The sequence below is a fragment of the Homo sapiens genome, chromosome 1, assembly GCF_000001405.40.
Source record: "Homo sapiens chromosome 1, GRCh38.p14 Primary Assembly".
NCBI lineage: Eukaryota > Metazoa > Chordata > Mammalia > Primates > Hominidae > Homo > Homo sapiens.
In genome coordinates, this window is record NC_000001.11 from 28,672,780 (window position 1) to 28,688,896 (window position 16,117).

Sequence of the window (16,117 nt, forward strand, 5' to 3'; positions counted from 1 at the left end):
GCCAGGCTGGAGTGCAGTGGCACAATCTCAGCTCACTGCAACCTCCTCCTCCTGGGTTCAAGTGATTCTCCTGCCTCAGCCTCCCGAGTACTGGGACTACAGGCACATGCCACCATGCCCAGATAATTTTTTTTTTTTTGAGTTTTGCTCTTGTTGCCCAGGCTGGAGTGCAGTGGCGCGATCTCGGCTCAGCGCAACCTCTGCCTCCCGGGTTCAAGTGGTTCTCCTGCCTCAGCTTCCCGAGTAGATAGGATTACAGGCATGTGCCACTACGCCCGGCTAATTTTGTATTTTTAGTAGAGACGTGGTTTCTCCATGTTGGCCAGCTGGTCTTGAACTCCCCACCTCAGGTGATCCGCCTGCCTCGGCCTCCCGAAGTGCTGGGATTACAGGTGTGAGCCACTGCGCCCAGCCAGTATTACTCCTTTTTCATTACTAGTTCCAATGTCCTTCCCTGCAATCATGTGACACTTGTCCATTTTTCGTTTGTTTGTTTTTTTGAGATGGAGTTTCCAGGCTGGAGTGCAGTGGCTGTGGCGCGTTCTTGTCTCACTGTAACCTCCGCCTCCTGGGTTCAAGCGATTCTCCTGCCTCAGCCTCCTGAGTAGCTGGGATTACAGGCACCCACAACCACGCCTGGCTAATTTTTGTATTTTTAGTAGAGACGGGGTTTCACCATGTTGGCCAGGCTGGTCTCGAACCCCTGACCTTGTGATCCACCCTCCTTGGCCTCCCAAAGTGCTGGGATTACAGGCGTGAGCCACTGCGTGCAGCCTGACACTTGTCCTTATTCAAACATAGCATCTTGCCACATTATAGACATTGGATTTTCAGGACACACAAAAATGAATTTAGAGTGGGTCAGAAATCATTTGTTTAGTTTTCTGGTGGCTATATAAGCAGCGATGTGCTTAGTTTCAAAGTGTTGTTTTTGTCTTTGGAAATAACTACAGGCTGGGCACAGTCGCTCAGGTCTTTAATCTCAGCACTTTGGGAGGCCGAGGTGAGAGGATTGCTTGAGCCCAGGAGTTTGACACCAGGCTAGGCAACATAGCAAGACCTCATGTCTACAAAGAAGTAAAGAAATTAGGCCAGGCGTGGTGTCTCATGCCTGTCCCAGCACTTTGGGAGGCCGTGGTGGGTGGATCACGAGGTCAGGAGTTCAAGACCAGCCTGGCCAACATGATGAAACCCTGTCTCTACTAAAAATACAAAAAATTAGCCAGGCATGGTGGCGGGCACCTGTAATCCCAGCTACTCGGGAGGCTGAGGCTGAGACAGAATTGCTTGAACTAGGGAGGTGGAGGTTGCAGTGAGCCAAGACCCTGCCATTGCACTCCAGCCTGGGTGACAGAGCGAGACTCCGTCTGAAAAAAAAAAAAAAAGTTAATGAAAAAAAGGAAAACAGAAATGAGCAGGGTTGGTGGTTGGTACCCATAGTGCCAGCTACTCCAGAGGCTGAGGTGGGAGGATCACTTGAGGCCCCAAGGTCGGGGCTGCAGTGAGCCAAAAACACTGTACTCCACACTGGTCTGGGTGACAGAGGGTGACCCTGTCTCAAAAAACAAAACGAAAGAAAACAAAAACCCAAAAAACTACGGAACAGTTAATTTTATTTATTTATTTATTTATTTTTTTGAGACGGAGTCTCCCTCTGTTCCCCATGTACAAAGGCACAATCTTGGCTCACCTGCAACCTCCGCCTCCTGGGCTCAAGTGATTCTCCTACCTCAGCCTCCCGAGTAGCTGAGATTACAGACATGGGCCACCACGCTTGGCTAATTTTGTATTTTTAGTAGAGATGGGGTTTCTCCATGTTTGTCAGGCTGGTCTCTTAACTCCCGACCTCAGGTGATCTGACTGCCTGGTCCTCCCAAAGTGCTGGGATTACAGGTGTGGGCCACCGTGCCCGGCCAGAATAGTTAATTCTTTTTTTTTTTTTTTTTTTTTTTTTTTTGAGACGGAGTCTCGCTCTGTCGCCCAGGCTGGAGTGCAGTGGCGGGATCTTGGCTCACTGCAAGCTCCGCCTCCCGGGTTCACGCCATTCTCCTGCCTCAGCCTCCCAAGTAGCTGGGACTACAGGCGCCCGCCACTACGCCCGGCTAATTTTTTGTATTTTTAGTAGAGACGGGGTTTCACCGTTTTTAGCCGGGATGGTCTCGATCTCCTGACCTCGTGATCCGCCCGCCTCGGCCTCCCAAAGTGCTGGGATTACAGGCGTGAGCCACCGCGCCCGGCCTTTTTTTTTTTTTTTTTGAGACGGAGTCTTGCTCTGTCGTCCAGGCTGGAGTGCAGTGGCTCCATCTTGGCTCACTGCAAGCTCTGCCTCCTGGGTTCACGCCATTCTCCTGCCTCAGCCTCCCAAGTAGCTGGGACTACAGGCGTGCGCTACCACGCTGAGCTAATTTTTTGTATTTTTAGTAGAGACGAGGTTTCACCATGTTAGCCAGGATGGTCTTGATCTCCTGACCTTGTGATCCACCTGCCTTGGCCTCCCAAAGTGCTGGGATTACAGGCGTGAGCCACCGCGCCCGGCCCCACAATAGTTAATTCTTAAGCATTTCACATAAATTTGGCATATTTCTTTTACATGTGTTCACATAGAATTCCAGAGAGAGATCGGCCGGGGTGGCTCACTCCTGTAATCCCAGCACTGTGGGAGACAGGCGCGGGCAGATCACTTGAGACCAGGAGTTCTGACACCAGCCTGGCCAACGTGGTGAAACCCCGTCACTACTAAAAATAAAAAAAGCCGAGCATGGTGGTGTGCACATGTCATCCCAGCTGCTACTCGGAAGGCTGAGGCACAACAATCGCTTGAACCCAGGAGGCAGAAGTTGCAGTGAGCGGAGATCCCGCCACTGCACTCCAGCCTGGGCAACAGAGTGAGACTCTGTCTCAAAAAAAAAAAAAAAAGAAAAGAAAAGCAAGTTTAAATTAAAAAAAGAAAAAAGAATTCCAGAGAGAGTTGTATGATTTCACAATGCATACTCCAAAGCCCCGAACGATCAACTCACTCATCTTGCCTCAGGAGTTTTTGTTGCTGTAAACAAGAGCTACTTTTCCATTTACACTCAGCTTAGAGATGACCTTGCATTTAGAGTTGGTTTCAGGTTACCTGCAAGGAATATGGTATTTAGGGTAATGAGTGATACTTAACCCAAACTTGCTTCTCTAAAGAAGGTCAGAATTGCCATGTTGAATCAGACCCATGACTTAGAGTGACATTGAGAGATGTATTGTGGATGATTATAATTATCCTCTCTGATAAACTCTCAGAAGGCTAGAGAAGAAGCCAGAACATTCCTCTTGGGTACTAATGTATGGTGTGGGTAAAGAGTAAAATGTGAGTTCCTATTGAGGAAGGTATTAAGAAGTTAGTCAACCATCTATTCAGAATGTTGTAGAGGGGACTTAGCTTAGGGTAGAAAGTTGAAATTAGAAGCATCCTTCTAAATCTGCTTCTTTAACAATTAACTAACCCATTTTTTTTGCCTAAGGTATTATAGGTTGAGTATCCCTAATCTGAAAATCTGAAACCCCAAATCTCCAAAATCTGAAAATTTTTGAGCCAACATGATGGCATAAGTGAAAAAATCCCACAGATTAGTAGTTAACGCAGGCTCTGTTTCATTCACAAAATTATTAAAAATATTGTATAAAATTGGCCAGGCGTGGTGGCTCACGCCTGTAATCCCAACACTTTGGGAGGCCAAGGTGGGTGGATCACGAGGCCAGGAGATCGAGACCATCCTGACTAACACGGTGAAACCCTGTCTCTACTAAAAATACAAAAAATTAGGCGGCATGGTGGCAGGCGCCTGTAGTCTCAGCTACTTGGGAGGCTGAGGCAGGAGAATGGCATGAACCCGGAGGCGGAGCCTTCAGTGAGCCGAGATCAGGGCGCTGCACTCCAGCCTGGGTGACAGAGCAAGACTCCGTCTCAAAAAAAAATAAATAAATAAATAAATACAAATAAAGATATTGTATGAAATTGCCATCAAGTGGCCGGGCGCCATGGCTCATGCCTGTAATCTCAGCACTTTGGGAGGCTGAGGTGAGTGGAGTTCAAGACCAGCCTGGCCAAGATGGTGAAACCCTGACTCTACTAAAAATACAAAAAGATTAGCTAGACATGGTGGCGGGCACCTGTAATCTCAGCTACTCTGGAGGCTGAGGCAGGAGAATCACTTGAACCCAGGAGGCAGAGGTTGCAGTGAGCTGAAATTGCATCACTGAACAGCAGCCTGGGTGAAAAATCGAGACTTTGTCTCAAAAATAAAAAAGAATTGCCATCAGGCTATGTGTGTAAGATGTATGTGAAACATAATCGAATTTTGAATTTTGTGTTTAGACTTGTGTCCTATCCCCCAGATATCACATTATGTAAATATGCCAAAATTAAAAAAAAAAATCTGAAATTTGAGGCACTTCTGATCTCAAGCATTTCAAATAAGGGATGCATAATCTGTAATTTTTTTTTTCTTTTTTTTTTGGAGATGGAGTATTGCTCTGTCGCCCAGGTTGGAGTGCAGTGGCACGATCTCAGCTGGGACTACAGGCGCCCATCACCACGTCTGGCTAATTTTTTGCATTTGTAGCAGAGACAGGGTTTCCCCGTGTTAGCCAGGATGGTCTTGATCTCCTGACTTTGCGATCCGCCTGCCTTGGCCTCCCAAAGTGCTGGGATTACAGGCGTGAGCCACCGTGCCTGGCCCATAATCTGTAATTTTTGAAAATTTAAAGCACATTTTTGGAATAATGATTCCATAAGTTTGCTACTTGCCAAAGTATTACATCTTTTAAATTAAATGTGTTATAGCACGGTGCTTGACAATGAGTGCTAGCTCAATAAAGGTTAGCTGATTCTTTTAATTCCGCCTACATTTTTATGGTTCAAATTTTGAAGATATTTATGGGTTCAGTTATTCTAGGATTAGATGGTATTTGTATGCTTTATCACATTCCTTTTTGGCCTTTTCTAGACTCGAGGGTCTTAATTGTTTTGGTTCTACTGTTGGTAGCCAGCTGAACCAGTTCATTGATTTTTATTTTATCTTATTTTATTTTATTTTGGTTTTAAGGAGTGGAGAGTTTAATAGGCAAGAAAGAAGGGAGAAGAGGCCGGGCATGGTGGCTCACGCTTGTAATCCCAGCACTTTGGGAGGCCAAGGCAGGCGGATCACCTGAGGTCAGGAGTTTGAGACCAGCCTGGCCAACATGGTGAACTCCCGTCTCTACTAAAAATACAAAAATTAGCCGGGTGTGGTGGCAGGTCCCTGTAATCCCAGCTACTCGGGAGGCTGAGGCAGGAGAATTGCTTGAACCCGAGAGGTGGAGGTTGCAGTGAGCCTAGATCACACCACACCACTGCACTCCAGCCTGGGGTATAAGAGTGAGACTTCGTCTCAAAAAAAAAAAAAAGAAAGGAGAAGAAAGGAAGAAGCTCCCCTTACAGAGACAGAGGGAAGGGGGCTCCAAAGCCAAGAGAGGAGACCCTTGATTTTCTTTTCTAGTGTTTTTGTTTGTTTGTTTGTTTGTTTGTTTTTTGAGACGGAGTCTCGCTCTGTCGCCCAGGCTGGAGTGCAGTGGCGCAATCTTGGCTCACTGCAAGCTCCGCCTCTGGGGTTCGCCATTCTCCTGCCTCAGCCTCCCGAGTAGCTTGGACTACAGGGGCCCGCCATCGCGCCTGGCTAATTTTTTGTATTTTTAGTAGAGATGGGGTTTTACCATGTTAGCCAGGATGGTCTTGATCTCCTGAGCTCATGATCCGCCTGCCTCGGCCTCCCAAAGTGCTGGGATTACAGGTGCGAGCCACCGCGTCCGTCTCTTTTCTAGTTTTATATAATTTTATTTTGAGGCAGACTCTTGCTTTGTCACCTAAGCTGAAGTGCAGTGGCACGATCTTGGCTCACTGCAACCTCTGCCTCCTGAGTGGCTGGGACTACAGGTTCACGTTACCACACCCGGTTAATTTTTGTACTTTTAGTAGAGACAGAGTCTCACCATGTTGCCCAGGCTGGTCTTGAACTCCTGAGCTTAAGCAATCCGCCCACCTCAGCCTCCCAAAGTGCTAGGTATCAGCCACGGTGCCTGGCCCTTTTCTAGTTGTTTTTTTTGTTTGTTTGTTTTGTTTTGTTTTGTTTTTTTGAGACGGAGTCTCGCTCTGTCGCCAGGCTGGAGTGCAGTGCCGTGATCTTGGCCCACTGTAACCTCTGCCTCCCGGGTTCAAGCAATTCTCCTGCCTCAACCTCCGGCTAATTATGCCTGGCTAATTTTTGTATTTTTAGCAGAGACGGTTTCACCATGTTGGTCAGGATGGTCTCAATCTCTTGATCTCGTGATCCGCCCGTCTCGACCTCCCAAAATGCTGGGATCACAGGCATGAGCCACCACACCTGACCTTTTTTTTTTTTGAGATGGAGTTTCGCTTTCTTGCCCAGGCTGGAGTGCAGTGGCACCATCTTGGCTCACTGCAACCTCCACCTCCTGGGTTCAATGAATTCTCCTCCCTCAGCCTCCTGAGTAGATGGGATTACAGGCGCCCACCAACACACTTTGCTAATACTTATATTTTTAGTAGAGATGGGGTTTCACCCTGCTGGCCAAGGTGGTCTCGAACTCCTGACCTCAAGTGATCCACCGGTCTTGGCCTCCCAAAGTATTGGGATTACAGGTGTGAGCCACTGTGCCTGGCCCCTTTCTAGTTTTAAGGCTTCAAGTTGCAGGAGTTCATATTCTGTACTGTAATATCTTGCAGTTAATTTTTTCCCTGCATATCCAATAGTGTCATGTATCTCTTTTCCTTCTGTAGTTTCTCAAGAGCAGGTATTGTTGCTCCTCATATCTAAGGAATCTAACTCTAGCTGATGTGAGGTAGAGACTCAATATAATATTTGTTGAACTGGCCATAATGATGAGCCATAAGCTGTATAGCTTAGCCTAGCTGCCTAAGCAAATTTATATCCCTCCCAGATAGGAAGGCAGAAAGTTCTAGAAGGGGCCAGGCATGATGGCTCACACTTTTTTTTTTTTTTTTGAGTGGCAGTTTCACTCTTGTTGTCCGGGCTGGAGTCCAATGGCACGATCTCGGTTCACCCACCACAACCTCTGCCTCCCGGGTTCAAGCAATTCTCCTGCCTGAGCCTCCCAAGTAGCTGGGATTATAGGCAAGCGCCACCACGCCTGGCTAATTGTTTTGTATTTTTAGTAGAGATGGGGTTTCTCCATGTTGGTCAGGCTAGTCACCAACTCCCGACCTCAGGTGATCCGCCTGCCTCGGCCTCCCAAAGTGCAGGGATTACTGGCGTGAGCCACCCCTCCTGGCCAGATGGCTCACACTTGTAATCACAACACTTTGGGAGGCCAAGGCCGGATGATCACTTGAAGCCAGGAGTTCAAGACCAGCCTGGGCAACATAGTGAGATCCTGTCTCTATCTTTAAATAAATACATATAAAAATAAAAAAGAAAATTCTAGAAGTCTTTTAGGTTGAGTCACTAATTGGACAAAAATGTATTGCATATCTGCTGTGTGCTCAGATTTGTTTACAAAGGTTTAGATAAGCAGTTTTGTAGATAAAATGTAAGTCTGATATTTGAAAACCATTTATTACACTCCTGTCCTGGGCACTGTGGTAGCCTTGGGGGAATTGCTGAATAAGAAAAGCAATCCTGGCCAGGCGCAGTGGCTCATACCTATAATCCTAGCACTTTGGGAGGCTGAGGTAGGCGGATCACGAGGTCAAGAGATCAAGACCATCCTGGCCAATATGGTGAAACCCAGTCTGTACTAAAAATACAAAAATTAGCTGGGCGTGGTGGTGCGTGCCTAAAGTCCCAGCTACTCAGGAGGCTGAGGCAGGAGAATCGCTTGAACCTAGGAAAGGGAGGTGGTAGTGAGCTGAGATCATGCCACTGCACTCCAGTCTGGGGAACACAGCAAGACTCCATCTTTAAAAAAAAAAAAGAAAAGCAATCCTTGGAATCCTTGGCCAGGCATGGTGGCTCATCCCAGCACTTTGGGAGGCCGAGGTGGGCAGATCACCTGAGGTTGGGAGTTCAAGACCAACCTGACCAACATGGAGAAACCCCATCTCTACTAAAAATATAAAAATTAGCTGGACATGGTGGGGCATGCCTGTAATCCCAGCTACTGTGGAGGCTGAGGTGGGAGAATCACTTGAACCCAGAAGGCGGAGGTTATAGTGAGCTGAGATTGTGCCATTGTACTCCAGCCTGGGCAACAAGAACGAAACTCTGTCTAAAAAAACAAAACAAAACAAAACACAATCCTTGCTTTTCCAGGACGTACAGACTGAGGAGGAAAAGCCAACAAAGTGAGATGATGGTTGTGACGGGGGTACTGCAGGTGCTGAGAGATCAAGAACACAAACTCAAACCTAGTGAAGGAATTCACAGAAGGCCTCCCCAAGGAAGTGATGTTTCAAGTAAATCACAAAATGGTTAGCAGGGACTAGCCAAAAAGGAAGGGAAAGAGAATTGCTTGAACCTGGGAGGCAGAGGTTGCAGTGAGCCAAGATCGTGCCACAGAACTCCAGTCTGGGCAACGGAGCGAGACCGCGTCTCAAAAAAAAGAAAATAGTTTAGCAGTGGCTTTGTGGAGAAGTGAGCTTTGAACTGGACTTTGAAGGGAGAAGATGAGGGAGAAAGGCATTAAAGACATTTCAGGCTTAAGGAATAAAGGGCAAAGAAATATAAAGGTACATTATGCTATGCTCAGAGTACATTAGGTGGCTGGTATGGTATTAGGACTTAAGATTCTTGGGGTATGATAGTTGCAGGTAAGACCAGATGAGTATTTTGGGACCATTGAGGGAATTCAGAGTGCCGTGCTTAAGTATGTGTGTTTTAGGCAAACAAGTGCTGTGGGAGAGGTGAGATGTGGATTAGATCTTCTGACTACACTTTTTTTTTCTTTGAGACGGAGTTTCGCTCTTGTTGCCCAGGCTGGAGTGCAATGGCATGATCTCGGCTCACCGCAATCTCCACCTCCTGGGTTCAAGCGATTCTCCTGCCTCAGCCTCTCAAGTAGCTCAGATTACAGGCATGTACCACCGCGCCAGGCCAATTTTTTGTATTTTTAGTAGAGACAGGGTTTCTCCAGGTTGGTCAGGCTGGTCTCGAACTCCCAACCTCAGGTGATCCACCCGCCTAGGCCTCCAAAAGTGCTGGGATTACAGGTGTGAGCCACCACGCACGGCCCTGACTACACGTTTTGTACTCAAACTTGCATCCATTGTGTGCCTACTCTGTTTGGGCACAGTCGTAGTCATCTTTACATACTCATATATTAAAATAAATACAGTGCTCTTACCTATACTCTCTTAAGTGACTCTCTCTTTTCAACTGTGAAGACTAATAACTGCAGAATATCTTGGGGTCCTCTGAGTTTTCATTAAGATTGGGACAATGCTTGGAGTAACTTTAGAGTCAAGGAGCACATGGTGCTGGACGTTGGTTTCCTCACTAACTCTGCAAGGGAGATACTGGGCAAGATTATCTCTCCATTCAGTCTGAGGCAAAGAGTTATTAAGAAGTCCCAGGCGTGGTGGCTCACACCTGGAATCCAGCACTTTGGGAGGCTGAGACGGGTGGATCATTTGAGGTTAGGAGTTCAAGACCAGCCTGGCCAACACGGTGAAATCCCGTCTGTACTAAAAATCCAAAAATTAGCTGAGTGGTAGTGGCGCACACCTGTAATCCAAGCTACTTGGGGAGGGTGAGGCAGGAGAATCGCTTGAGCTTGGGAGGCAGATGTTGCAGTGAGCCAAGATCATGCCACAGCACTCGTCTGGGCGACAGAGTGAGACCCTGTCTCAAAAAAAAAAAAAAAAAAAAAGTCTTAGAGGTCATACAGGTGAATTCAGCATTTATTAAGCAACTACATGATAAAAGTCATCTTCCCCTTCCCATGCAGCTCAGTTCAGTCTCCCTCCACAGATACTGAGTATTTTAAAGGATGGAGAACTTGAGGCAAAATGGCTGTTTGCACAGAAAGTAGATGTGATTCCTAATTTCCAAGAGCTTCCTGTTTGGTGTGGAACTGGTAATGTGCTACAAACCAACTCTCTGGAAAAACAAAATACTCTGATTTGTAGTGCTTGTCAATTTCGGGTCTGTTTACGCCCAGCATCGCTGATTTCAAGCTGTCAACTTAGTGTCACTAAACTCGAAGTTGGAAGAGATATGTGTGCACAATGGGTTCTCAGGAGCTGTTAGAGCTTGCTGCAGAACACCATGGGATGAGTCACACGTACTAAGAAAACCTATACTAGCAAGTGACTGTTGAGGCGTTTCTGGAAGGATCAGAGCCTGTGATAGCCCATCTCACAGTTCCCATCCTTTTTAGAGGCCCATGGTCTCTAGGGTGCTCTAGGCATTATCTTGGCAGTCCTTTCATATGGTTGACTTCTTTTCTTTTCTTCTTTTCTTTTTTTTTTTGAGACGGAATTTCACTCTTGTTGCCCAGGCTGGGGTGCAATGGCATGATCTCGGCTCACCGCAACCTCCACCTCCTGGCTTCAAGCGATTCTCCTTCCTCAGCCTCCTGAGTAGAGGGGATTACAGATACGCTCCACCACGTACCCGGTTAATTTTGTATTTTAGTAGAGACAGATTTCTCCATGTTGGTCAGGCTGGTCTTGAACTCCCAACCTCAGGCGATCCGCCTGCCTAGCTAGGCCTCCCAAAGTGCTGGGATTCCAGGCGTGAGCCACCATGCCCGGCCTGTTGACATCTTTTTAAACCAGATTAAGTTATTGGTGCTTCTTGTTCCCGACAGCAGTCCCAGCTATCTGACTTCATGTGAAAGATGGCTAATGCAGAAGTGAGTGTCCCAGTGGGGGATGTGGTTGTGGTACCTACTGAAGGAAATGAAGGGGAGAATCCTGAAGACACTAAAACCCAAGTGATTTTGCAGTTACAGCCTGTGCAACAAGGGTAAGTGGCTAGAGATTTGGGTATTCTGAAGTATTTTGGGAAGCTTCAAGGGTGGGGAAATTATAACTTTATGGTTGCTTAGCACAATGGAACATTTAACATCAATCAGAGCTGGCTCAGTTTTCATCTGTATAATATACTGTATTGCGTGCTGTATTTGTCATTTTAATACTTATTACCAACAGTTACTTGTTTCCTTGTATCTGCTTCTCTTCTCCACCTTGAGCTCCTTGAGGGTAAGTTGCATGGCTCCCTCATCTTATTTTATTATTATTTTTCTTGAGACAGAGTCTTACTCTGTCACCTAGGCTGGAATGCAGTGGTGCGATCATAGCTCACTGCAACCTCGAATTCCTGGGCTCAAAAGATCCTCCCACTTTAGCCTCCTGAATAGCTGGGAATATAGGCACATACCACTGCACCTGGCTGATTTTTCTTTTGTTCTTTTTTCTTTTTTTATTTTCATAACATATTTTATTTAACCCAATATACCCAGCACATTATCATTTCATCATATACTCAATTTAAAAATTCCAGGCCTGGCCGGGTGCAGTGGCTCACGCCTGTAATCCCAGCACTTTGGGAGGCCGAGGCGCGTGGATCATGAGGTCAGGAGATCAAGACCATCCTGGCTAACATGGTGAAACCCTGTCTCTACTAAAAATACAAAAAATTAGCTGGGCGTGGTAGCAGGCGCCTGTAGTCCCAGCTACTTGGGAGGGTGAGGCAGGAGAACGGCGTGAACCCGGGAGGCGGAGCTTGTAGTGAGCCGAGATCGCGCCACTGCACTCCAGTCTGGGCGACAGAGCGAGACTCCATCTCAAAAAAAAAAAAAAAAAAATTCCAGGCCTACATGGATGGAGCTGGAAGCCATCATCCTCACCAAACCAACACAGGAACAGAAAACCAAACACTGAATGTTCTCACTCATAAATGGGAGTTAAACAATGAGAACACATGGACACAGGGAGGGGAACAACACACACTGGGGCCTGTTGGGGGGTGAGGGGGTGATGAGAGGGAACCTAGAGGACGAGTCAATAGGTGCAGCAAACCACCATGGCACACATATACCCATGTAACAAATCTGCACGTTCTGCACATGTATCCTAGAACTTTAAATAAATAAATAAATAAAAATTCCAGTTCTAATCCCACTCTTACACAGTTATGAATCTTCAGCATAACCATGAAGGCATGATTTACTTCAGAGTTCAAATGTTGACTTTTTTAGTTTTTGTAGAGATAGGGGTCTTGCTTTGTTGCTCAGTTTATCTGCACTATTTACAGAGGCTCCTTATGTGTTTACCAAAAGACTGTGTAGCTAGAGTCAGAGGATATCAGGCAAGGCAACGACCATAAATTCTCTGAACCCCCATGGAGGGGAAATTATCAAGCTGAGTCTAGCACCTACTACAATACAATGTATTATGAAGGTGTTGGAAAAAGATAAGATTTAAAAAGGGGTTCTTTTTTTTTTTTTCGTTGAGATGGAGTCTCACTGTATCGCCCAGACTAGAGTGTAGTGGTGGGATCTCAGCTCACTGCAACCTCCGCCTCCCAGGTTTAAGTGATTCTCCTGCCTCAGACTCCCAAGCAGCTGGCACTACAGGCTCTTGCCACCGTGCCTGGCCAATTTTTGTATTTTTAGAAGAGATGGGGTTTAGCTGAGATCATGCCACTGCACTGCAGCAGTAGGTGACAGAGCAAGACTCTGTCTCAAAAAAGAAAGAATACAATAATGTAGACTTACCTTTTAAGCTCTAGTAAACATAATGATGATTCGTAGGGAATGTCAATATCTTATGATGCCTTAACGTTTTGAACATATTTCGTGACTTTTGACTATGGCCATAGTAGATATAGAGAATTAAGCTCAATCCATCACTATCCTGAGTTACTTTAGATAATTTTTCCCTGATAAAAAATCTTGTTTACGGCCAGTCATAGTGGCTCACACCTGTAATCTCAGTACTTTGGGAGGCCGAGGTGGGCGGATCACGAGGTCAGGAGTTCGAGACCAGCATGACCAACATGGTGAAACCCTGTCTCTACTAAAAATACAAAAATTAGCTGGGCATGGTGGCGCATGTCTGTAATCCCAGCTACTCAGGAGGCTGAGGCAGGATAATCACTTGAACCCGGGAGGCGGAAGTTGCAGTGAGCCGAGATTGTGCCATTGCACTCCAGCTTAGGCGACAGAGAGAGACTCCGTCTCAAAACAAACAAACAAAAAGAAATCTTGTTTACTTGTAAAAATATAGACTACCTCCTACTTGCCACCGTTAAGTGCAATTTACTGGTTGTTGAAATTACTTGGCTGGGTGCAGTGGCTCATGCCTGTAATCCTAGCACTTTAGGAGGCCAAGATGGGAGGATCACATGAGCCCAGGAGTTCAAAACCAGCCAGGGCAACATGGCGAGACCCTGTCTCTACAAAAAATTTAAAAATTAGCTAGGCTTGGTGGCTCACACCTGTAGTTCCAGCTACTCAGGAGGCTGAGCTGGGATGATCACCTGAGCCTAGGAGATTGAGGCTGCAGTGAGCTGTGATCATGCCACTGCACTGTAACCTGAGCAACAGAGTAAGACCGTGTGTCAAAAAAACAAAAAAAAGGCCGGGTATGGTAGCTCACACCTGTAATCCCTACACTTTGGGAGGCTAAGGTGGGCAGATCAGGAGTTCGAGACCAGCCTGGCCAACATGGTGAAACCCCGTCTCTACTAAAAGTACAAAAATTAGCCGGGTGTGGTGGCACGCGCCTGTAATCCCAGCTGCTTGGGAGGCTAAGGGAGGAGAATTGCTTGAGTCTGGGAGATGGAGGTTGCAGTGAGCCGAGATTGCACTACTGCACTTCAGCCTGGGTGACAGAGTGAGATTCTGTCTCAAAAAAAAAAAAAAAAAAAGGACATTATTCATACATGAGAATGTATTCTTTTAAGAGATTTTTCACATAGTGGTCAACTTAGGATGAGTTTACCAGTCTTATTTGAAGCAGTGGTTTCTCATGTTTATCACAATCCTCATTCCCTGAATAACCATTTATTGGGTGCTTTGCCATGTTCCAGTCAGTCAACTACATGCTGGGCATACAAAATTGAATAAATGAATAAGCCATAATCTGTGCACTTGGGGACCTCTTAGCCTGTGCTCAAGGGGAGACAGACAGATAAACAAGCATACATTGTGATAGGTGTTATGACAAAACCCAACGTACAGCTGGGTCACAAAGGAGGAAGTAAGTGATTATATTGAAGGGATTAGGAAGGAAAGAAAAGCATCCTAGAGGCTACTTATTAAAAGACAGATAGGAGATTGGTGCAGTGGATCATGCTTGTAATCCCAGCATTTTGGGAGGCAGAGGCAGGAGGATCACTTGAGTCCAGGAGTTCAAGGCCAGCCTGAGCCACATAGGAAGACCCTGTCTCTATAAAAAAATAGAAAAATTAGCCAGATGTGGTGGCATATGCCTGTAGTCCCAGCTACTCAAGAGGCTGAGGTGAAGGATTGCTTGAGTCAGGGAGGTTAAGGCTGTAGTGAACTATGATCTCACCACTGCATTCTAGCCTGGGCAACAGAATGAGACCCTATCTCACACACACACACACACACACACACACACACACACACACACACACACACACACAAAAAAAGACAGTGGAGAATAATGTTCTGGGAAGTGGCAGAAATAAGAGAAAGAAGGTATAAGAAAGATGGCACTTTTGGGAACCACAAATAGTTTGGCAGTGCCGGGGCCTGGATTTTAAGGTGAGGTTTGGGAAGAATTGAAACCAGGGGCCAGATCTTAAAGAAGCTTAAATATCATACAAAGGATTTGGAGCTTTATTTTAACAATGAGGAGAGAGGGTGTTTGAGGGATTTTAAGGAGGAAATCACATGATTAATCTGGTGGGAATGTAGAAGATTAGTTAGATGCAAGGATACTAGTCTAGAGATGATGAGGCCTGAATTAAGGCAGTAGCAGTGGAGATAGAGACAGGGAGGGAGGATGGATAGTGTTAAAGTGATGCATCTAGCAGGATTTGGTGACTGACTATGTGGAGTTGTGAAGGAGGAAATGAAACAAATCTAGTATGATTCCTAGATTTCTGTCTACAGTGTGCTGAGTGGTGCTATTAACAAGGATGGAGAGTATAGGAAGAAGAATAGTTTGAGGGTGGGTGGGAAAAGGGAACTTGATGGTTATTTTAGACATAACGAATTCGACAAAGTCCTGTGGGACTTCCAAATGTATTTATTTGGCTGGGCACGGTGGCTCACGCCTGTAATCCCAGCACTTTGGGAGGCGGAGGTGGGCAGATCACCTGAGGTCGGGAGTTTGAGACCAGCCTGACCAACATGGAGAAACCCCATCTCTACTAAAAATACAAAATTAGCCAGCGTGGTGGCGCATGCCTGTAATCCCAGCTACTCGGGAGGCTGAGGCAGGAGAATCGCTTGAACCCGGGAGGCAGAGGTTGCAGTGAGCCAAGATCGCGCCATTGCACTCCAGCCTGGGCAATAAGAGCGAAACTCCGTCTCAAGAAACAAACACACATACAAATGTATTTATTCATTTAGCAGTTGGCTGTGTTTGAATGTGAAATTCAGAAGGGAGGTCTGTGCTAGAGGTATCACTGTGGAGGTAGTCATTGATACAAAGGAGAATATTCAGGCAGTGCTTTCAAGTAACAAGATGCAATAATTAGCACATCAGCTTTATTACAGAAATTAAATAAAGGATGTTGATTGTTGATATATCAAGTTACATTATCTGAGCCCATAAATGTAGAGATATCTTGGAGAGATCTGCATTATATAACCTTCTCTAAGTGGTGCCTCTAGTCACTCCTAGTTACTTTGGATGTAGTTTCTCTCTTACTTTTCTTCCACTAGGCTTTGCTCGTGTCAATAGTTTGGTTATGGTACCTTAAAAGATGCTAAAATGCTAAAAACAAACAAACACCCCCCCACCACCCACCACCCCCAGCAAAATACACCGTTTCCAGCAAGGGACATCAGCTTTTTAGTCAGCGTGGTTCTTCCTATCTCAAACTATCTGCTGGTACTACTTTTTAGTCTTTTCAGGGTAATTCCATAATATGAATTAGTTGTGTACTTGTAGCAATACTATGCCATGGGCATTTAAAGTTTT

At 46.0% G+C, this 16,117-nt stretch overlaps 1 protein-coding gene across 12 annotated transcripts in view, besides 1 other annotated feature; it reads left to right on the forward strand.

Moving 5' to 3' along the window:
* GMEB1 (glucocorticoid modulatory element binding protein 1) overlaps positions 1–16,117 on the forward strand; it is a 51,125-nt gene that overhangs the window by 4,551 nt on the left and 30,457 nt on the right. For 5 of the 12 annotated variants that reach the window (XM_047438136.1, XM_047438283.1, NM_006582.4 and 2 more), the window contains exon 2: positions 10,804–10,961. In XM_047438136.1, coding sequence (XP_047294092.1) covers positions 10,834–10,961 — 128 coding nt within the window. In that variant the 5' untranslated portion in view covers positions 10,804–10,833. Of the gene's footprint in view, positions 1–8,230; positions 8,465–10,803; positions 10,962–16,117 lie in introns of those variants that run through there. The other 7 variants (XM_011540519.3, NM_024482.3, XM_017000087.2 and 4 more) reach the window with 6 other exon arrangements.
* Positions 8,462–8,961: an enhancer, noted in NCBI's record as "H3K27ac hESC enhancer chr1:29007753-29008252 (GRCh37/hg19 assembly coordinates)". NCBI's record gives its function as "activates a minimal SCP1, AML or CMV promoter by ChIP-STARR-seq in naive H9 embryonic stem cells {active_cell/tissue: H9 hESC(naive)}" and the evidence as "EXISTENCE:reporter gene assay evidence [ECO:0000049][PMID:30033119]".